At 45.8% G+C, this 22974-nt stretch overlaps 1 protein-coding gene, 1 long non-coding RNA gene and 1 other non-coding gene across 11 annotated transcripts in view; 1 reads left to right on the top strand and 2 right to left on the bottom strand.

The window, feature by feature from the left end:
- Positions 1–22974, top strand: part of IPO9-AS1 (IPO9 antisense RNA 1) — a 141304-nt gene that overhangs the window by 2290 nt on the left and 116040 nt on the right. Inside the window, exon 2 of the long non-coding RNA NR_046696.1 lies at positions 9969–10043. This is a non-coding gene — a long non-coding RNA (IPO9 antisense RNA 1). The remainder of the gene's footprint in view (positions 1–9968; positions 10044–22974) is intronic.
- Positions 301–22974, bottom strand: part of NAV1 (neuron navigator 1) — a 287843-nt gene continuing 265169 nt past the window's right edge. For 5 of the 9 annotated variants that reach the window (NM_001389617.1, NM_001389616.1, NM_020443.5 and 2 more), the window contains 14 exons: positions 22773–22781; positions 19121–19317; positions 18660–18852; positions 18399–18567; positions 18009–18106; positions 17733–17828; positions 17165–17324; positions 16512–16747; positions 15513–15667; positions 15296–15367; positions 14609–14805; positions 14012–14130; positions 9985–10182; positions 301–7433 (listed from right to left, as the gene is read on the bottom strand). In NM_001389617.1, coding sequence (NP_001376546.1) covers positions 7338–7433; positions 9985–10182; positions 14012–14130; positions 14609–14805; positions 15296–15367; positions 15513–15667; positions 16512–16747; positions 17165–17324; positions 17733–17828; positions 18009–18106; positions 18399–18567; positions 18660–18852; positions 19121–19317; positions 22773–22781 — 1995 coding nt within the window. In that variant the 3' untranslated portion in view covers positions 301–7337. The remainder of the gene's footprint in view (positions 7434–9984; positions 10183–14011; positions 14131–14608; positions 14806–15295; positions 15368–15512; positions 15668–16511; positions 16748–17164; positions 17325–17732; positions 17829–18008; positions 18107–18398; positions 18568–18659; positions 18853–19120; positions 19318–22772; positions 22782–22974) is intronic. The other 4 variants (NM_001389615.1, NM_001167738.2, NM_001389612.1 and 1 more) reach the window with 1 other exon arrangement.
- MIR1231 (microRNA 1231) lies at positions 18568–18659 on the bottom strand. Its single transcript, NR_031599.1, has one exon. It is a non-coding gene; the product is annotated as a microRNA 1231 (primary transcript).

Genomic DNA, 22974 nt, shown 5'->3' with positions numbered 1-22974 from the left:
TTAGCAAAGTCAAGAGGGTGGTATGTTTTCAAACACTGCAGCAACCCAGATGGAGGACTCCGGAGCCTTGATGTTTGGGCTGGATGTTTTGAGATCCGGTGAAGGATTCTATGTCCATAATGTGCGAGCAGGGGTTCCTCCCACCCCCAACCATGGGAGTCAGGAGACTCTAGCTTAGGGTTTCAGGTTACTTCTGGGTTAGGCAAATGACCACAAGCAGTCTGGCCTTGCCAATCAAGGAATGGGCCACAAGATAAATGGAGACAGAAACCAGGCAGAGAGGGAGCTAGAGAACCAGTGGACAGTACAGGAGATAACTTTATTGAAACGCAAATGGCATTGAACAGATGAATCTTGCTGGGAGGAGACATGCCAGATGGACAGAGGGCCCAGATTGGGGGTGGCCTCAGTGGTGATGAAGGAAGGCCTCTTCAGCTGGCTCTGGCATGAATTTTATTTTTAAATAATTTGTTATTTAAAATGAATTACTGAGGGGACAGCCCGGCTCTCTCTTCATGATTGTTACCGCAACTATATACAACAGTTTGCTTTCCAGATTCAATTTCGCTTTTTCTACATTAGATATAAAAGGGGGTAGGTTGAAAGAGGGGAGGGTCAAATAAAAAACATAAACACACAGACATACACATATCCTGGTTTGGGATTTTGCACCCAATAACTTAAAAAAAAAGTGTTGCAAAAACTTCTGCCCACTCTCCACCTGAGGAACACCATGCATTTGAGAAACACGGACTCTGTCACATAAACGGTGCTGCCTAAAACAGTATGGAGGCGGGGAAGGAAGCTAGCAGGGGTTGGAATTCATTTTGAAAAAAGATTGTTTTGTTAGAAAAAGCAAAAACAAAAAAGCATTAGAAAGTGGGAGCCACTGCACAGCAGTAGCCTAGAGACTGGCTGCGATATGGTAGCTCTGCCTTGATATCATCTTCGTGTCTTCAGGCATAGAGAAATGGCAGAGGAGCAGTAAGACCCCACAGGAGATGGCCAGAGGATCCACCATCAGCCTTCTGGGGACTGAGGAGGTGATCTTAGTGGAATTATTTTATACTCACCTCCCCCGGGGTTTAGTCCTTCCTCCAAACACTTAGTTCCAGGGCGCAGGAGACCTGTTACTAGCACTGTATGTTTCTTTGTGCTTTACCCAAGTTCTCATACAGGGAAAATTGACAAACTTGAAACAAAACCAGTTCTAAACAGCCTCATCTCCTCCATGGCCCAATCAGCTATTTTATGAGTTTGTAAAGATATGAAGCTTTTTTCAGATATTTTTTAAAAAGGATCTTATTTGGCAGGGTGCTGTGGCTCACGCCTGTAATCCCAGCACTTTGGGAGGCTGTGGCAGGTGAATCACCTGAGGTCAGGAGCTCCAGCACAGCCTGGCCAACAAGGCAAAACTCCGTATCTACTAAAAATACAAAAATTAGCTGGGCGTGATGGCGCACGTCTGTAATCCCAGCTACTCAGGAGGCTGAGACAGGAGAATCGCTTGAACCTGGGAGGCGGAGGTTGCAGTGAGCCGAGATCGTGCCACTGCACACCAGCCTGGGTGACAAAGCGAGACTCCTTCTCCAAAACAAACAAACAAACAGAAAACAACAAAAAAAGGATTTTATTCTGTCACCTTGGCTGAGTACTTCTGTATCCAGGTCCTGCTGTGGGGAAAAGAGAGGAGGAGCACAAGGACTGAAGTGCCCAGGTCTGTGTCTTCATTATGCAAGACTCTCCTATGAGCTGAGTGGAGTGTGGATAAGGGGCCTTCCTGGGATACTGGAGCCCTACACTGTTAGCTGCCATACAGAAGGAGGTTCTGGCCTGGTTCTCAGGCCCAGCAGTGCCCTTTATAACTCAAATAAAGGAGAGGGATGTTGCTGGGAGAACACGTTGTCATGGAAATACAAATTAGATTTTTTTTTTTTTTTTTACTTTTTCCATCCTATTACATAATCAGCTCGGAATAGATACAAATAATTCGGCAGAAGAGCAATCTGGAAGAGACCTCCAACTGCTTTTCCTTGTTGAAGCCCCTTTGTGTGCCAGGTAGTAATTTCCAAGGCATAAGGTTTTTCTCTGAAGGTTGTATTCAACTAGGAAAGACACAAACATTCTCCTAACTTCCACCCAAAAGCACACATACCTTTCTTTGTTAAAATCATAAATGGAAAAACAGAAACACAAGGAAGCATGAGAAAGGTGACTTTGAAATTAATGTTAAAGTCTGAATGACAACCTAGAACCTTCTTATTTTGGGCCCCAAAGCCTCTCAGTGTGGGAACTCCAATACTATAAAGGGCTTTCCCTTTAAAACAGTTGAATTTAGTGTGCATCAGAATCACCAGGAGGGCTTATTAAAACGTGGATTGCCGGGTCCTCTCATTAGAGTTTCTGATTCAGCAGATCTGGGATGGGATTGAGAATTTTCGTTTCTAACAAGTTCCCAAAGGCTGCTGATGCTGCTGGTCTTGTGCCATACTTTGCGAACCACTGCTTTAAGGAATGAGAAACCAGGGGATCACTCACTTACTTCCATGACCACCCTTGTCACAGAAAATTCTCCATGGTATAATCATGAAGAAGAATGACCAAACCATCAAACTGGAAGGATCTAGTATACACAGGTTGAATTTTCAACCGTCTTCGTGTCCCTGCAGCTTTGGCATTTTGATAGGTATCCTCCCTTCAAGGCTACATCTTCTGGGTTACTACCACCTTTCCCAGGATCTGTGGCCGGCAGTGCTCACTTCCAGGGCTAGGCTGAGCAGACATGCACCCATGCACCCTGGTGGCCCCATATATCCGTAGTCAGGTTGATTCAGGACTTATTAAAATATAAGGCTGATTGGATTATAAGGGGCAATATCTTCAGGCTTTGGCCTTTGGGGAACAGTGTTCATAAGATCATTTTATTACTATGGCCTTCTCAGTGGAGCCATGAGCCAGAACTTGTGAGTAGTATATCCATCTCTATTAATAAACCCTCTGCAAAAGCCCATTTTTCCATCCCATCACAGGGGTTGGCTTATGAAGTCGGCTTCTTAACTTTAGCTTAGTCAGTGCCAAGGAATAAGGAAAGCAAAAATAAAGTATGATGAGGAACTGCGCTTGGTGATCTGGGTCACTTCAGCACTTATTCCCTGTGTTAAATGTGTGATTAGGACAATTCCCCCGCCCTCTCCAAATAATGGCAATAAAGAGTTCTTAAGGTCTCATGCAGATATCTTCTTGACCTTGATTTGGAGGACTGAGTCCCCTTCAGTCAGGCAAATTTTACCTAAATGCAGGGTTTCTATGTGGATGCCATCCCAAGTGAGGATGTGAGGTGTCTGTGAGAAGCAGCAGGCTACCATTTCTCTCTTCCTACTCTTTTAGAATACTTTAGGAAATAGTTACTCCTCAGACCACTGTAAGGGGTTATCCCTCTGAGTAGTGTGACCCTTGTTTCAGAGAGCTAGAAGTGAAGAGATGGTGAGATTAGGTACACTTAGTCTTGCAAACCAGGAAAACCAGAAGGCAAGACATTAAGAGAGAAAAAGAAGCCCTCTATTTTGTCTTTAGTACTTAAGGAATATGGATAGATCAGTTGGAAAGTTGGCAATTCAAGACTAAAACAGTATACCAACCAATGAACATTTCATTGTAGGGTCTTCCCATGGACTTGTAGCAGATTTGTCTTCCCTGCCAGCCTCTACCTTCCCAATGGTTAGACATGAAAAAGACATGGGTACTTAAGGATTGACACAAAGACAGAGATAAGCACCGTAGAGCTGCCACAAAGCATAGATTTTAAAAAATACTTTGAAGCCTCAGAAGGTAGGAAACAGCAACAGCAAACTGCTCTTGTGTGTGTGAGAGAGGGAGACACACACACACACACACACACACACACACGCAGACATCAGGTCCCACATTAGCCTCCAATGACCTAGTATTTTATTTTTAGTGCCTAGGCAAGGTCTGAGAAACAAATACATTGGACAAAACTTGTTGGTCTTCTTCATCCAGAAATTAAGGGACTCAGCTCAGGAACCTCTCCTGGAGTTGTGGCTCTCCCCATTGGTTGACATTAGATATTGAATTCATGTCATTTCCTAGACAACTGTGGTGAGGGATGGAGTTGGGGGGCTGGAGAGGAAGATAATAGCACAAATTCCAGTATTAGGCTGGATTCTTCTGAAGGTGCCTGGCGGTTGAGAATTTAGCTATGGGACCCAGTGTTTCTTTTCTGAAGGATCCCAGTAGTCTCAACCAAGAAGCAGGACGTAGGTGGGAGAGAATGCTGTAGATTTGCTCCTTGCCATAAATTCTAGGGCAGTGAGTGGGGAGCTCAGGTTTTCTGCTTCAGAGAAGTCTGGATGAGTGTCCCAAGGGGTTATAGCACCATGAGGAGGCTCAGCCTTCTGCAGTTGCCATATAACTGTGATTCCTTCATGAGAATGATCAATCCCCACAGTGAGGGGCCCAGATGTGCAACTGTAAACAGGGTCCCAGGCTCCAGAGGGAAAGCCGAGGCTTCAATACTACCTCACTAGACGGGAACACACTTTCTGGAGGAAAGCAATTGGAGACCTGGCCTAAATGCAGCAGTCAGCTGAGAGTAGAGGGTGGTGGATCCCAGGAAGAGAAATAAAAAGTCATAGCATGAGGCCTCCAGAATCAACCTGCTGAGGATCCAAATAAAATTCATGGTGGTATCCATGGTTACCAGAGAGCCAAGAATCCCTTTGGGGTCGGAGGCAGTTGGAATGAAAGAAGGGGTTCTCCCCTCTCCTTTTTCTCAAGTAGCCAGTAACATCCATGGCAGAAGGCACTGGCTGGGCAGCACCAGAAAATAGAGTGAAGCGCTCAACCATCAGATTAAGATGGCATTAAAAGTCTGAGCCTTGCCATGGAACTGGAGCTTAGGATAGGGTTTAGAAGAGGCCTAGATCCCAAGCAGGCCCATCCAGTCTTCTCTTCCTTCTAAGTTAGAACAGCCAGCTCGGGGGCCTCCTCATTCTGCACAGCAGAGACCTTAAGGCAGTGATTTCAGCACCATCCTTGGACACACAGCCTCTTCCCACCACAGAATTGCATATGTTACAGCTGAGTTGGTTAGGGATCTTCACAGCTCATGGAATTAGCAGCAATAGCAATAATAGTCTCCATCATACAGAACCCTGTCATCCATGGGAGCTTACCACGTGGATGCAGAAGCTTTTGTGAGGGGCAGCCCGGACCATCTTTTGGACTTAATATACCGATATGAAGATTCAGATGCATCTACTCCTCGGTTGGGTGGAAGAGTGATCCAGGTTGGTATGCCTATAGATTCTGATAAAGTCTTGTGCTACTTAGGAATCTGAAGAGCAAACACTTAGGCCGGTGCTCATCACATATCCTTGACCTGCAGAGTCCTGAAGCTTCAGCCTACTAGGCAGCTCAGCCTAGAAGCTGGTCCCGCGGGGCTTTCAGAAATGGCAGGAAGTAGACTTGCCCATTCCTGACAAGCAAGATTCCATAGTCCTTCAGGCTCCATCTTAATTGATCCCAGATCTTCTGCCCCCAATGTATTGTACATCTAATCAAAAGCTTCTTTCTAGCTGGCTCCTTGGGTTTCAGCTACATTTCTTAGATGATCCCGAAGGTCTAGATAACAAGGGGGCGTAGCTGAATGGAGGTTAACATTTCCTGCTGGACTGTAAACTTAAGGGCCCAGGTCTTGTGTGTGTGTGTGTGTGTGTGTGTGTGTGTGTGTGTGTGTGTGTGTCTGTTTTAACCTAATGATTTGTATATAGTGAGTACTCAGTAAGTACTTGTCAAATGAAAGAACAGGGATTGCCAGACCTTCAAGGCAATGGGAAAGGAGCAAATCTGCAAAGGTAGGATCTCTTTGGAAGGCAGGTATTGGCCACCAAGTCAAACTCCTTGAGTCTTATATTCTGATTGGGATGATCTCACATGGATGTTCATCTCTTATATGTGAATACTCATTTGTGAAAAATAGTAAGAGCCAGCTAGGATATTTGGATTCAGTCAGGCACCATCAGAATAGTGCAGTGAAAGGCCAAACTGGCCACAAGACAGAGGAATGTTTTCAGTTTTCTGGTTTTCCTCTGGTCCATGATAAAGCTCGGAGTAACTCTTCTATCAAGATGGGGCTATACCTTCTCATGACAGAGGCTGGCAATTGAGCTACCCAGCAGAACGTGTGCTCTCAAAAGGGAAGTCAAGGGAACTGGGTTCCTCTTCTCCCTCTACTTCTGAGCCAATGCTTCATGTCTCATATAAGCCCCATGGATGCCAAAGATAGTGGCATGGCAGGTGTCATGCCAATTGCATGGCATCAGATTCTCCAAAGAAAACCCACTTGGAAAAGCCAAACTAGCCCCTGGAAAAGCAACCCAAGCATCTCGTGGACATGTGAGGAAATGGAAAAACGGAAAAAGAAAAAAAAAAGGGAAACAAAAAAATAAATAGGCAAATGGGAGAAAAAAATGAAAACAAAATAAAAACCAAAAATAAAAAAGTAGGGTTTATTGACTCTTATGCATTGTTAAATTAGAGGGTAGAAAGACAGAGCTGGTAGTCTTTCCCTGAAGGCTGTAAGGTTATTTTTGTGGTTTGGTGACTTCTCAGGTTGGCAGCCGTCTTGTTGATGTCCCCTATGTCATCCAGAGGGCAGGAGCGGGCAGCTCTCTACCTTGGCAACTGGTTCCTCTCTCTCCAGCTTCATCTTTTCCATTGTTTTTTGTTTGTTTGCTTGTTTTTGTTTTTCATTTTTACCTTTTACAGATTGATTTAAACATTTTTTAAACCACATGCTTCTTTTTCTGGGCTCCAGCCAGATCTCTGGGGGAGGAGTTGTTGGCAGTGGTGATGGAATTGGGAAGGGTCTGTGAGAAAATCTGAGGAGCTTCCTGCCTCCCCCAGATCTCCCTCACAAGACTGTCTCTCTCAGGGTTGCTTGTGAGAATCATTTAGGAACTGCTGCAGTGTTTTGATGTTTTCTGAACCCCTCCCCAGAAAGCCCAGGAGTTTGTAATTGAAACAAGAAGTCAAGGGAAAGACCCAGAATCATCTTTTCCCCAAAGTCATTAGAGGAGGCCAGTAAATGTGTTTAGGGGGCACAAGTTCCCAAACGCCACCCCACCATTCCTTCCTAGGAAGTTCTCAAAGGTACAGCACCAAGAACCTGTCCCTCCTCTTTCATCTCCTCCTCCCTCCTGTTCTCCTCCTGGGGCTGGAGAGCCAGTGCTCTGAAAGAGGAGAGGGGAGAGGAGGAGCTAAGATAGCTGATGCCAGCGTTCTGCTGTCCGGGGGTGACAGTGATTGCCGAACCCTTAAAGTGTTGCCTGAAGGTTGGGGTCCAGGATGGTTTCTCGATCTGGAGACTCAATGTAGTTGGCAGCTTCTTGAAGTTTCAGCAGCATGGCCATCTAAAGGGGGGCAAAAAGATGGATTTATGAGAGTTGGGACTCTGGGTCCTGCCCACAGAAGGGAAACAACAACAACAAAATCCCAACACTTTGGGAGGCCAAGGTGGAAGGATAGCTTGAAGCCAGGAGTTTGCAATCAGCTTTGAAAACAAAGAGAGACCCTGACTCTACCAAAAAATAAAAATAAAACAATAAAAAACTGGCCAGGCGTGGTGGCACACAACTACAGTCCCAGCTACTCAGGATGCCAAAGCCCAAGTGGGAGGATGACTCGAGCCTATGAGCCTAGGAGTTTGAGGCAGCAGTGAGCTTTGATATCATCACTGCATTCCAGCCTGGATGAAAGAGCAAGACTCTGTCTCCAAAAAAAAAAAAAAAAAAATCTAGATCATGGGTCTGATCCTTGGTTTCTCAGTGATGAAGAGCTCAGAGTTTAGAGTGGTTTGTGAAAAGGCAATGAGGATTTCTTCAATGATAACTGTGACACATGTGTATGTACAACAATTACTTGGGAGTATGCCTGCTATACAAGGGACAAGGTACCATTTATGGAGGAATACCAAAAAAGAATGAGACCACTTCTGCCTGCAGGGTGCTTGCACTCCAGGAGAGGAGGGAAGGCCTGAACATACCAACGAATACTGGGAGGAATGTGAGAAATGCTATAAAATAACAATTTCCCCTTCCAATAGAGTATAAACCAGCAGCTAGACACTGTATTATTATGAACCTATTTCTCTCCAGCTTACCAACCGTGTTGCTTCATGTCAAGTCTAAATACCTCTATGTACTCACTTCCTTCTCTTTACTTACTTTTTTCTCTGGACACGTCAAGATTGGTACTTCCATTTCAGCTAAGTAAGCCTGGTGCATTTTCTGTTGAATCTGCTCTCCACAATTCTCTTCTGTCTACGTGATTATTAATAAGCTTCCAATTTAAAAGCATTTTTATACAGATAGCATCTGTTTTTAACAAAGTCAAAATTTTAATAAAAATGTATTATGATTATTGGAAGAATTTCCTATGGGAAAGATAGAATTGTAAGGTCACAGGATTTGCGCATGTTAAGTTTTAATATAATCTGCCAAATTATCTTCCAAAATGGTTTTATCAACAACCACTCCCACCAGCGGAGTATAAAAGTCTATGCTTCCATACATACTACTTTTGCCAATGTGAAGTGGTATCTCTTGTTTTAATTTGCATTTCCTCAATTATTGGAGAGGCAGAGGATCCTTTTATGTTTTTATTGGCCATTTGCATTTGCTCTAGCCAAATGTCTACTCATATCTTTTTTTTTTTTTTTTGAGAGGGAGTCTCGCTCTGTCGCCAGGCTGGAGTGTGCAGTGGCGTGATCTCGGCTCACTGCAAGCTCCACCTCCCGGGTCCAAGTGATTCTCCTTCCTCAGCCTCCCAAGTAGCTGGGACTACAGGTGCCTGCCACCACGCCTGGCTAATTTTTTGTATTTTTAGTAGAGACGGGGTTTCACCATGTTGGCCAGGATGGTCTCAATCTCTTGACCTCATGATCCGCCCGCCTTGGCCTCTCAAAGTGCTTGGATTACAGGTGTGAGCCACCACGCCTGGCCTTCATATCTTTCTCCTAAGAGATGGGGTCTTGCTTTGTCACCTGGGCTGGAGTGCAGTGGTGTAATCACGGCTCACTGTAGCCTCAACTTCCCAGGCTCAAGCAATCTCCCACCTCAGCCTCCTGAGTAGTTGTGACTGTAGGCATGTGCCATCACACCCAGCTAATTTTTTTGTTTTTCTAGAGATGGGGTCTCAGTATGTTGCCCAGGTTGGTCTTGCACTCCTGGCCTCAAGCCATCCTCCTCCTGTCTCAGCCTCCCAAACTGCTGGAATTACAGGTGTGAGCCACTGTGCCCAGCTGTTTATATCTTTTATCCATTCTTCTGTTTGGAAATTTTAGATATTTTAGATACCAGTCTTTTTCTGGCTACAGGCATTGCAGATATTCCCCCAGTTTGTACTTGGCTTAGCCTGCTTTCTACAGGAGTTCCATGAACTCATTTAGCTGAAGTAGTCTTCAGGATAGCGTCAGAGGAGAAGCAGAAGTAGAGAGAGTGCTAGTGTGCCCTACTGCTCTACTTCTTTGGTTGATATTCCTACATCATGAGATCTACCTGAGACTTGGGTCTTTGCTAGAATACATCTTGCTGGGATGCACTATTATTTAGCTTAAGCCAGGTCTCAGGCATATGATCTTTATAACCCCAGATTCTGATATTTAGAGCTCCTCACTGGCCTTAGCCTGGTCCTGGCTTTGCTAGTGCTCACTCTTTACTCTCCAGGCCCCCATCAGTGTATGTATGAAAAGTGTGAAGAATTCAGGGTTTTTTTTTAACTTATTTTTTTCTTTTTTGAAATACAGACAGGGTCTCATTATGTTGCCCAGGCTGGTTTTGAACTCAAACAATCCTCCCACCTCAGCCTCTCAAAGTGCTGGGATTACAGGTGTGAGCCACCCTGCTGGTCAATAATTCAGTTCTATAATAGTCTTATTTTTACTCTAGAATGGCTTCTACTCACCAGAGGATCTGAGTCCAGAGAACTTGGGGTGCTGTCTTTGACTGTCCTATCCTCGGGAGGTGAGGCAATGCTGTGAGGGCCCACGGTGGGTGGGGGCAGGTGGTACAGCTTTGATTGGTCTTGTTGGGCTGATGGCCAGGGAAGTGTGTCCCGGACCCATTCCACTGGGTCCTCCCAAGCAGCTTTCTGTCCATGGACCTGGAAAGAAGGTGAAATATGATTACTGTGGGGAATTAACAGATTAGAGGCTTGTTCATGCAGTCTTTTGGTAGTTCCTACAAAAAATAGGCTCCTTAAAAATATGCACTTCCTGGCCAGGCGCAGTGGCTCATGCCTGTAATCCCAGCATTTAGGGAGGCCAAGACAGGAAGATCACTTGAGGTCAGAAGTTCAAGACCAGCCTGGCCAACGTGGTGAAACCCTGTTTCTACTAAAAAGAAAAAAGAAAAAAAAAATTAGCCATGCATGGCGGTGCGTGCCTATATAATCCTACCTACTTGGGAGGCTGAGGCAGGAGAATCACTTGAACCTGCGGAGGTTGCAGTGAGCCACTGCACTTCAGCCTGGATGACAGAGCAAGACTCTGCCTCAAAAAAAAAAAAAAAAAAAAAGTGCACTTCCTCAAATGTAAATCCTCGAGGCTCTGATTTCTGTGGAGTTTTCCTGAGTTTCCAAACAAGGAAATAAGTTGGTATAAATTGTAAAATAATTTTGGAGGATAATTTAGCAGATTGTATTAAAACTTTAAAAAATATTTAATTTTTATTTTTTCAATTTATTTTATTCATTTTTTAATCAACAAAAATTATATGCATTTATGATGTATAACATGATGTTATGAAATATGTATTTGCCGTGGGATGGCTAAATCAAGCTAATTAACGTATGTATTACCTTACATATATATTTTTTCCCAGAGGGAGTTTCGCTCTTGTTGCCCAGGCTGGAGTGCAATGGTGCAATCTTGGCTCACTGCAATCTCTGCCTTCTGGGTTCAAGTTATTCTCCTACTTCAGCCTCCCAACTAGCTGGGATTACAGGCATGTGCCACCACGCTCGGCTAATTTTTTGTATTTAGTAGAGATGGGGTTTCATCATGTTGGTCAGATTGGTCTTGAACTCCTGACCTCAGATGATCTACCTGCCTTGGCCTCCCAAAGTGCTGGGATTAACAGGTGTGAGCCACTGCACCTGACTTTACCTCACATATTTCTGTGTGTGTGGTGAGAACACTTAAAATCTATTCTCAGCTGCGTGCGATGGCTCACACCTATAATCCCAGCACTTTGGGAGGCCGAGGTGGGAAGATCGCCTGAGGCTGGGAGTTCGAGACCAGCCTGACCAACAAGGAGAAACCCTGTCTCTACTAAAAATACAAAATTAGCCGGGCGTGGTGACACATGCCTGTAATCCCAGCTACTTGGGAGGCTGAGGCAGGAGAATCGCTTGAACCTGAGAGGTGGAGGTTGCAGTGAGCCAAGATCCCGCCATTGCACTCCAGCCTGGGCAACAAGAGTGAAACTCCGTCTCAAAAATACAAATAAATAAATAAAAACTATTCTCTTAGTGAGTTTCAAGTATATGATACATTGTTATTAACTATAGTCACCATATGGTACAATATATCTCTTGAACTTATTCCTCCTAACTGAAATTTTGTATCCTTTGACTAACATCTCCTCAACCACTCCTACTCACCTACCCCCCTGCCCAGCCTCTGGTAACCACCATTCTACTTTCTGCTGCTCTGAGTTTGACTTCATTAGATTCTATGTATAAGTGAGATCATGCAGTATTTGTCTTTCTGTGCCTGGCTTATTTCACTTAACATAATGTCCTCCAGGTTTATCCATGTTGTTGCAAATGACAGAATTTCTTCCCCATCCCCCAACCACCCCACCTTTTTTTAAGTGACAAGGTCTCGCTATGTTGCCTAGGCTAGACTTTAACTCCTGGTCTCAAGAGATCCTCTCGCCTCAGCTTCCAGAGTAGCTGCTGGGACTACAGGCATGCATCATCATGCCTGGCTTTGAATTTCCTCCTTTTTTACAACTGAATAATTTTCCATTGTGTGTATATATACCACATTTTCTTTATCCATTCATCTACTGATGGATGCCTAGGTTTCATTAAAACTTAACATGCACAAACCTCATGACCCTACAATTTCATTTTTCAAGTAGGAAATGTTTCCGCTTTAGTCATAATGCTTAATTTTTTTTTTTTAACTTTTTTTTTTTTTTTTTGAGACAGAGTCTCCCTCTGTCACCCAGGCTGGAGTGCAGTGGCGGTGATCTCGGCTCACTGCAAGCTCCACCTCCCAGGTTCACGCCATTCTTCTGCCTCAGCCTCCCGAGTAGCTGGGACTACAGGTGCCCACCACCACATCTAGCTAATTTTTTGTATTTTTAGTAGAGACGGGGTTTCACTGTGTTAGCCACGACGGTCTCGATCTCCTGACCTTGTGATCCGCCTGCCTTGGCCTCCCAAAGTGCTGGGATTACAGGCGTGAGCCACCGCACCCGGCTTTTTTTTTGTTTTTTACTTTCTTGAAAACAAATACTATCTGTGTGAAAATGCTTTTAAATTGAAAAGCTACTAATAATAATGCAACATTTCCTTAAAATAATATAATTTATAAATGAAATAATGATTTCTGGCATCAGTCTGACAGCATCTTTAGAAATTTACTATATCACCAGGAGATATCTATCTCAATAACAAGTTACTTTTACAGATAATATATGACCCATGGGTCTAGCCATTACATCACAGTTTATTAGTGCTGGAATGGACTTTAGTGATCATCATACCCTAATTTACAGGTAAGAAAACTGAGGTGGTTTTAAGAAAATGACATGTTCCTTTTGCACTAAGTTTTTATTCTAACTTTTAATTTTAATTGTTTTTTTTTTTGAGACAGGTTCTCACTCTGTTGCCCAGGCTGGAGTGTAGTGGTGAGAACATGGCTCACTGTAGCCTGTATATCCTGGCCTCAAGTGATCTTCTGGCCTCACCCTCCAGAGTAGCTGGGACTACAGGTGTGCACCACCATGCCTGGCTGATTTTTTTTATTTTTTGTATAGACAGGGTCTCCCATGTTGCCCAAGCTCCTGGGCTCAAGTAGTCCTCTCGCCTCAGCCTTCTAAAATGCTGGGATTACAGGCGAGAGCTACCAGGCCCAGCCTTATTTTAAGTTTTTTTGTTTGTTTGTTTGTTTTTGTTTTTGTGACAGAGTCTCGCTCTGTTGCCCAGACTGGAGTACAGTGGCGTGATCTCAGCTCACTGCAAGCTCTTGCCTCCCGAGTTCACGCCATTCTCCTGCCTCAGCCTTCCAAGTAGCTGGGACTGCAGGCGCCCACCACCACGTCTGGCTAATTTTTTGTATTTTTAGTAGAAAGGGGATTTCACCATGTTAGCCAGGATGGTCCTGATCTCCTGACCTGGTGATCTGCCCGCCTCGGCCTCCCACAGTGCTGGGATTACAGGCATGACCCACCACGCCCGGTCTCCTTATTCTAACTTTTAAAAATCTTTTCACATATTTCATTTTGTCTTCAAAAGACTCCAGTGATTTAGGTAGAGCAGAAGGTGATGTCTCCTTTTTTTTTTTACATATGAGGGTATTTAAAAAGGTCAAGTAACTTGGTTAATATAACATACTTATTAGTAGTAAGTAGCTAAGGTTTTGTTTGTTTGTTTGTTTGTTTTAATTAGGGTTTTACTTACTTCTTAGCTCAATTATTTTTCTGTTTGCTCTGACCCCTAGAGAGTGGTTTAAATTGGGCTTAGAGCCAGAAGGCCTAGGACTGGAGAGATGGCCCCAGAGGCAGTGGTCATTGTACCATTTGCTGAATGGCAGCTGGAGGCAGGAAAGCAGCTTAGTCTACCCAGTGCCTTGCTCCACCTGTTAGAAAGAGAACCTAACTAATCCTAGTAGTCCCATGCCTAACATTAAAGAAACATTCCTACTTTGTTAGGTAGGACAGCCTGATCTTAGGGTTTGAGTGAAGGGGGTAGGGCTCACCTTTATCCCATCCTTGGCTCCTTCCTGTAGATAGGGAATGATAGAGTTGTTCCACAGGTCAATGAACCAGGTCCGGAAGTCCTCAATGCCAATGGGACACGACAGAAAGAAGCAAGGGCCTAGGGAAGAGGATGGGGCCATGAAGATGGCTGGGAACCTAGATCTTCCCGGTTGTGTGCCTCTTTTACTCCTTAGTACCAGGCAGAGGGGTCTGACAGTCAAAGGATTAAAGGAAATTTAGAGTTGTCAAGACTAGTGGGTGCTGACTGCCTAGATGGCAATCTCATAAGTCCTGCTTCACAAGGTAGAAGTGAGATAAGGGAGTGAGGAAAGCTGTTTAATTCCTTCCTACATATGTGCCTCCTTTTTTCTGTTAATTGTGGGAAAAAAACAAGGAGAGGGGTTAGCTTTCTGGTGATTGAAGTGGTGCTAACTGTGTTGGGAAGGCTCGTTAAGTGGTTCTAAGTCTGAAGCCACAAGGCTTGCAGCTCCTTTACATGCCGAAGACTCCAGGAAGAGAAGGGAGCATCCCTCCAGGTGGTACAGTGGAAAAGGGAAGCCACCTCCTGACCCCCGGGGGAAGCTGGACCCCAGTACCGATGAGGAAGTCTGAGGTGCTGTGCTTCTCAAGGAAGGTGTGGAGATGATACCACAGCTTGGGTACCCAGTCGAGCACCCGAAGCAGCTCTTCCTTGTTGGCATTGATGTCGCTGTCTGACTCTACCAGCTTCCTCCTCAGGTAACGAACCAGGAAGCCATTGGCTGGCTCCACGTTGTTGGAGAAGGTCAACATCCTGCCACCAAGGATGGGGAAAGTGGGGTCAGAGTGGCAATGGGGACATTGTCAGGGTTCAGCCCCTGCCAGTCTGTCCCTCCTTCTGCCTGCTTCTCACTAATGCCTACTTGGTTTCTTTTCAAGTAATAGTGGGGACATCGGAACTCAGAGCAGCAGCCCTGGGGTGGTAGAGCTGATTCTCAAATTGGTAGCCCTCTTCGGATAACCTTCTGACATCACTGACCCAGATCAGCGTGTGCGGGCAGAGAATCCTAATTCTGCTTAGAGCAACCTACCTGGCTCTCTCTTAGCTTAGCAGGCCTTTTCTCTCCTCAAGTGTCCTCCTCCACCTTGTAACTGACATGACAAATACATCTACTTTCTATTTCCAGCCCAAAAAGCTCTGGATACTTCTCTTTCCTTCTCCTATCTACTGCCTCCTGGCCAGAGTCCAGGATTGAAGACTCTTGGGTAGGGTCAGAAGGTTCATCCAGAGCTAGAGGTCTTACCTGAAGCTCAAGTGCAAGCCATGGTTGGGTGTCATTTTTACAGGCTGATTGGTGGTACCTATAATATAGGGACTGTAGGGAGAAAGGGGAAAAAGATTCACTTAGACTTGCCTTCACACTTGCTTTCTGCCACATGCACACAACTCATAGGTTGTCCTGGACTGGGTTCTCCCTCCTCCCACTTCGATGAATTTTGTCTTGATCCCAGCTTACTTACCATTTATGATACTTGCAGGTGAGGGCCCCATTGACCAACTCACTGATGGAGCCTGCTTCACTCAGGTCATCCAATAGAATCACCAGGGGCACATCCCCAATTCCTGTTTCCCGGTCTATCTGGTTGGCTAGGTTGGAAAGATACAGTTGCAGATCCTGGAATAAAAGAAGGCTGTGGGTCAGCACTTGGGAATAAGCAGCTGGATCGGCCTTGGAAATCAGGATTTTGAAGAAGTCTTACTAGATCTAGATTCCCCTGGGGCCTTTAGTTCCTTGCAAATTTGATTACAGCAGATTACCACAGAGTGATAAGCAGTGGTTGCAAAGGCTCTAAAGCAACCCTCTTAAGCAGCAGCCCCTAAATTCCCCAAAGTTGGGGAACATATGCTATTTCCTAGATGGATTTTCACTGGTACCATGGACTACTACTAATGGGCATGCCTCCCCGAGCTGGGAAGAGCAAAGATCTGAACCAACTCCATTGTATTAGGGTACTCAAGAGACATCATCAGGTTTTGGCAGGGGAGGGTGTAATATGTACCATTTAATTCTGAGTGCTTCTTCCCAGATAGCCCAAGGTCAGAGAGTAATACTGAAAAGAAAAGTAGAAGGAAGAGAACAAAAGAGAAGGGATGGGATTGACAGGGTTGGCAGACAGTGGGGTAGAAATGAGGAGAATGCAGTTTCATCAATGACCAACTGAGGAGGAAGGTGCACAAAGCAAGGAAAAGTGTGGAGAGGAAAGCCTTTCTCCATAAAGGCAAGGGAAAGTGTGGAGAAACAAGTTAAAGGCAAGAGGCTGGAAAGAAATCGTGGGGAGGGAAAGGAGAAGACTGGAAAAGGGGATAGATAGAGAGGGAAGGAAATGAACACAGAAGAGAAGAAAGATGAAGGCAGAGGTGAGGAAAAGGGAACAATGAGGCAGGAAGGGGCCGAGGAAGGGTCTTAGGGAAGGCTGAGGCATGAACAAAGGCTGGCAGGGGTGTCGGGGGGCAGCCACCTTGCAAGACTGCTGGTGCATGTTGAAGGTGCTGACGATGCCCTCTGTGACCTCACGGCCAGAGCGCTCCACCAGGTACTCGGCCAAGCGATTGGTCAGGTAGGTCTTGCCCGTGCCGCTGGGGCCCGAGAGGACGAGGCGCCGGTGCTTCAGCAGGAGGCTTATGTAGTGCTGCATCATCGGCTTGGGGATCAGCGTCTCGAACACCAGGCTGTCGACGCATTTCTCCTTCAGACCTGAACCCCCACCCCAGAAAGCATGAGTATTGACCAGGGTCTTGAGGATAGCAAGGGATCCTAAAGGGCTTTTCTTTCTTTATCTAGGAGCCCCCTGAAGAAACTCAGAGCCACTTGCCCCATGGTTCCATAAGAGTCCCTTAACCCCTAGTTTTGAAAACTTAGATCTTCTTTTTAGGGACATGCTGTGAGCTGGGGGTGAGGAGTGAAGCAAGAAGCCAAGGCTTAGCAAAAGTGTCCCTGGGAGCCAAAGTTAGGACTGGGTCTTACTCATCTTTTTATATCTCACATTACTTAAGCATCTTCATATTATACCTTCTCAGTGAGTTCTTGGTGAATGAATGCATGATGGATTATTTGATGATCCTGTCCCTGCCTTCATGCCACACCACCTCACCCCAAGAGACAAAGACTGACCTTTGAGGGAGACTGATATGTTATTGACACCTCGACGGCAAGGAGGCATCTCGGGGGGCTCTGCATCCAACACTCGTTTCACGTGGCTGATGCTGTAGCCATGGATGGACTCAGTGCTTAGTCCCAGGGTAGAGGCTGGGTCCATTTTAGAAATATAGTCCTGACAGAAAAGACAGGCAGAAGAAGAAGAAAATATACAAACACAGGTGTAAAAGCCACAACAAAGAATGTCTATCAGAGGAAACAGAAATAGATGGAGAAAGTGCAGAGCATATGCTTTTCCTAGGTAGCATTTCTCCATAAAGCCTCAAAGGTCCCCAGGATCCCAGTGCCTGGACGGTTTAATATCCTGTGAGAAGCCATGCATGGTGGCACATGCTTGTAATCCCAGCTACTCAGGAGGCTGCGACAGGAGAATTACTTAAGCCCAAGAGTTCAAGGCTGCAGTGAGCTGTGATCACGCCACTGCCCTCCAGCCTGGGTGGCAAGAGTGAGACCCTGTCTCTAAAAAAGTATATATATTCCACGAGAGGATGAACAACCTTTTTGAGTACAGGTATCCCTTTACCTTGAACACTTGGAAAACAGCTTCATCCAGCATCTTCCAGTCAACTTTTCCACTGACCTTGCTACAGCCCAGGAAGAATTCCTGCTGCTTCAAGTCCTGTAAGGCCAAGGAAGGAAAAGCTCTTGAGCTTCACTGCAGATGACTCCATGAACCGGGGTCCTAAAGGCCTTAGGAGTTGAGTTCTTTGGTTTTGGAGGTACCCAGGGTCCAGATTTTCTTGGATAAATGTAACAGTATTTGTTCATTCCCACTGTGGCTCTCCCTGAAGTTCCTTACCCCTTTGATGATGTGCTGCGGGGGCATCCTCACCACCACCCGGAGGGTCACTTCCTCCTTTGGACCACAAGTACTGATGCCATCCATGGGTGACAGGTCTGTGGGGATTGAAAAGAACCAACTGGTTTTAGGAGTACCCGCAGCCTTTCCTAAACTTTCCCATCATTATCCTTTCCAAAATAACTCTGTTTGCCACAGAGAAGGAATGGAGGTCCCAAACTCAAAAGTAGTTAAGGTTGAAGGACCATTACAACTCAGTGTCTTAGGACACTGGCATCTGCTTGGCTTCGGCATTGTTACCGCCCTGACCAAAGCAAGTGGAATGGTGTAACAGTGAAATAAGCCCTTTTCTTCCCTTCACCCTTATAGATTCTTCTCCCACACAGGTACCTGTGTCTGCAAGACTGGGGCCGAAGGAATGGGTGAGTGCCAGGCCTAGGGAGCGGCGTGGGGAAGATAATGCAGATGATCCAGGGACCTGCCCTGGAGTGGAGCCTGATGAGGGGCCTGGGGCTACCTTCAGTCGGTCATTCTCTGCTTTCAGCAGGTCCACCTCCAACTGTGGCAAGAACAGACAGGGTAGGGTGGCAGACTGGACAGACAGCAAGCCTTGGTCTTCCCTTTCCTGCAGCTGTCCGCCCAGACACTGACCTGCATGTTGTGCATGGTCTCCCGAAGCTGATCCAGTTGGTGGGCAGAGTTGAGGGCCTCCAAGCGGATGTCTGTAAGCTTCATTTCCTTCTCCCATAGCTCAGAGCGCAGCTCCGATACCTCCTTCTTCTCTGGCTCCTCCTCCTCATTTGCATGGAACAGCCTAGTGTGGGGGGCTGGGTGAGCAGGGCCCCTGTAAGATAGCAAGAGTCAAGCCAGGCTACATGAAGAAGCACTAGAGTTACTAGAGAATATTGAGAGGCATGGTTGGTGGTCTTGGCTTCTCCTGCCCATTGATATTCAATCAGCATGAGAAGAAAGGTCCATCTGTTGGTCTCATATGCCCAGGGAGAGGTCAGTAATAAGTACTGCTTGTCTAAGGTCTAATGGCCTCCTGTCAACTCTAGCCCACAGCTTACACTGGTAACAGGCTGGGTGGCAGGGAGCCAAAGAGCACTTACTCGGTGACATCAGTGCCCACGGAGGACGAGGTGGAGGACTTGATGGAGGGTGAAGCAGTCTCTGTAGAACCATGCTGTAGTTTGGGGGATGAGGGGGCTGAAGAGTCGGGTGTAGCAATCTCCTCTATATCCGAGTATGAGGAAGCTGACTTGGGCCCCTTTTTTATACTGAACGCTTTGTTGAAGGAACTTCGAAGCTAGAAAAAAGCAGATCCAGGTAGAGGGACATTAGGACTCCACTACTGGGATGGGGGAGGACTGGATTGAGACTTCTGAGACAGAGAGAGCTGGAGGCGGGGGATTTACTTTAATTAAGCCACCCTCTATAACACTTCACTTGATTCATAGAATACGGACAGAAGAGTTGCCTAGAAATTAGGACCGTGGAGGCAGAGGTTGCAGTGAGCTGAGATCGAGCCACTGCACTCCAGCCTGGCAACAGAGTGAGACTCCATCTCAAAAGAAAGAAAGAAAGAAAGGAAATTAGGACCAAGAGAAAGAACAGAATCTTCTAGCTTGCTGATGTTGTAGGCTATGGGAACTTCCTGGGTGTTCTCTTGCTCATAGGGGGAATTGTGCCCCTGATGGGGACAGAGAGAAGGTCCCAGAGGTCACATGGTATACAGCTCAGTGATCCAATCCCACCTTCTGCAGCAGAACAATAACCGCTCAGTCTAGAACCTGGCTCACTGTGGGCCTCAGAGGCCACCTCATGATGCCTCTGACTAGGGCTCATCAGCCCAGAATCTGTTCATCTAGTCATCTGTCAACCAGAAACTGACAATATGATTCTGTGGAGAACACGAGAAGGCAGTGGGCTCAAGCTTCTTTTAGTATTTCTTGTGCCCAGGACATCACAGAATGGTTAAAACAGCCAGACAGCATTTTCTATGATTTCCAATGTCCTAGAAGAAGGGCTATTTCCCAGCATTTCTTTAGAGTACTTGGGGCATTATAATCTGACCATAGCTTGTTTGATCTTGGTGTTGATGAGCTTGGGTGTTAGGGATGTGAGCTAGAGATGCAAACCAGGGTCCTGTCCCATACCCATCCACATGCATCCATACAGCATGCACACACCACACACCACACACACACATACACACACACACACAGGGACACAGATATGAAATGGCAGCAAGAGGCAGAGAGTAAAGGAGGGGTCAAAGGTTATAGGGGACAAAGGCAAACCAGATCTTTGGGACGGTGAGAAAAAAGAAGGAAAAATTTGAGGGTACGCTTTCTAAGCGTCTCTCCTGGAACATAGGAAGGCCGTCAGGTGATGGATGGAGCTGGTGGGTGGTGCATCTTGGGGTTTCCACCAGGCAAGATGTAAAGGAGGACCAACTTGGCTGTGGTGGAGACATGAATGAGTGAGTATGTGTGCAGCTGGCTGGCTCCAGGTGACTTCTTATCACTGAGCAGTCAGGGCTCAAAAGTACCATAAAGCTCATTTCTCTGTAGAGATGAAGAACCAAGCCTGAAAAGGCCAGAGAGTTGACTTGCTTGAAATTGCATAATTGACGTAAGACTTAGGACTAGAACTCAGGCTTCCTAATTTTCAATCCAGTGAAGTTTTCTCCATAGCACTGCCTCATGGGATGCTGTGTGTGTGTGTGTAAAGAGATCCTATGACAAGCTGCCTGAAGCATATGCCCCTAAGATCAATAAGATCCTAAGTGAGAATATGTGTAGTTCAGTATTCCCAAAGCCAGAACTGTTCCGAGATGTTTGGTGTTATGTGGCTAGTGGTTCCATGGTTAAATGAGTTTAGGGAACAATGGATTAAGCAAAATGAAACAAGATTATTTGCTGGGGGATATCTCACAACTTTTTCTGTGCAGATGTAGAAAATGCAGTACTTAGGCTGGGCGCAGTGGCTCATGCCTGTAATTCCTGCACTTTTGGAGGCGGAGGTGGGCGAATCAGCTGAGGTCAGGAGTTTGAGACTAGCCTGGCCGAGATGGTGAAACCGCGTCTCTACTAAAAATACAAAAATTAGTTGGACATGGTGGTGCATGCCTGTAATCCCAGCTACTCAGGAGGCTGAGGCAGGAGAATTGCTTGAACCCGCGAGGCCGAGGTTACAGTGAGCCAAGATCGCGTCACTGCATTCCAGCCTGGGTGACACAGTGAGACTCTACCTCAAAAAAAAAAAAAGAGAGAGAGAGAGAAAATGCAGTACTTCTCAAATTTATTTGACGATGGTATCACTTTTTTCTTTTTTTGGAGACAGGGTCTCACTCTATCACCCAGGCCACAGTGCAGTGATGCAATCTTGGCTCACTCAACCTCCACCTCCCAGGCTCAAGCTATCCTCCCACCTCAGCCCCCAAGTAGCTGGGACCACAGGCACGCATCACCACACCCAGCAAATTGTTGCATTTTTAGTAGAGGCAGGATTTCACTATGTTGCCCAGGCTGATCTTGAACTCCTGAGCTCAAGTGATCCACCCACCTCAGCCTCCCAAAGTTCTGGGATTACAGGCCTGAGCCACTGTGCCCAGTCAATGGTATCACATTTTAAGGAGCATCTCAATGGGCTGGCAATCAGTGGAACACACTTTGGGAAATGTTAATCTAAAAAATCAAATTTAAACAAGTATCAGGCTCTTCCTATGTGTACTATACCCTACTCAGTCAGTGCTCTAGCTAAGCTGGCCTTCTCCATCTCCCTCTGCTTCTCTTCTGCACAGACAGTGTCTGTGTAGAAAGCATCCCAACACATTCCTCTCTACCCATCACAATTGCATCTCAGTTTAACTTTTACCTCCTTTGAGAAGTCTTCCCTGCCTATAGTAATCACTGTCTCGTCATCTGTGAACTCCTTTAGCACTTACTGCCCGAATAAGCATTGTGGCACTGTTGGATTGCTATTAATTTTATATGTATAATTTTTTTGGTCTCCCCAGTAATACTGCAGCCTTCTTAATGACGAGATTATAGATTCCATTTTTCATATCCTTCACAACACACCTAGCACAATGTTGGGGTAGGGTTAGAGTGGACCTCAGGTATCTGGTTCATAACAGAAATTCTGGATGCATTTTCTGTTCATCTTAAGACCAAACCCTCATCCCTGAAATGTCTTTGGGAACTCCATGGATGCTTAGACAGTTTTAGGCTTTGGGGTGACTTGAGTGTGCCCTCCTGGTCTCTATCCCTCACCTATCTCTGGTTCATCCTACTCTAGAGCTAAATCTTCAGGTTAGGCCCAGGCTGAACTGGCCTCTGGAAACTGTGGTCAATATAACTTTCATCCAGTGACTCTCTTCCATGTTGGGTCTCTAGGTATTATGGAACCAAAAAGAAGAAGGTTCATTTTCTGGATAGGAGGAGCTCAATTTGACTGCTTTTTATAACAGGCCAATTTTGTAACAGGGGAAGATAGTAGGGAATATATTTGAATTTTGTTTGACTTTCCCATTTGGCCCCCAACCAGACCACTCCTCTGTCCTCACATAGGGCAGCTGTGGATGGACCATGCAGTGGAGTGAGTTAGGAACTCTGGGTGGTTGTTACAGTTAGTGTTATGAGTGGTCATTCATTTTTTTTTTTTTTTTTTTTTTTAGGGGAAGGGAGTTGCTCTGGAAATAGGGAAGGTATGGCAAAGGGAAAGAGAAAATAAGGGGATAGGAACTGGGTCTCTTACCTCATAGACCTGGAAAAAAATAGGGATTTGGAGTCAGCATTTTGAAGGAAAAAAAAAAAGAATCAACACTTAATCACTCATTTCACACAGCTGGTACCTGTCTGCATTATACAAAGGTCTGGGGGTGTGTCTTACTGAACAGGGGACAGAGGAGCAGGACGTGTCCACCTGGGGATGCTTTCTTACCACAGTCAGCAAGAGG

Source organism: Homo sapiens, chromosome 1 (assembly GCF_000001405.40).
Source record: "Homo sapiens chromosome 1, GRCh38.p14 Primary Assembly".
In the NCBI taxonomy this organism is placed as follows: domain Eukaryota; kingdom Metazoa; phylum Chordata; class Mammalia; order Primates; family Hominidae; genus Homo; species Homo sapiens.
This window is presented reverse-complemented; position numbering and strand designations above follow the sequence as displayed.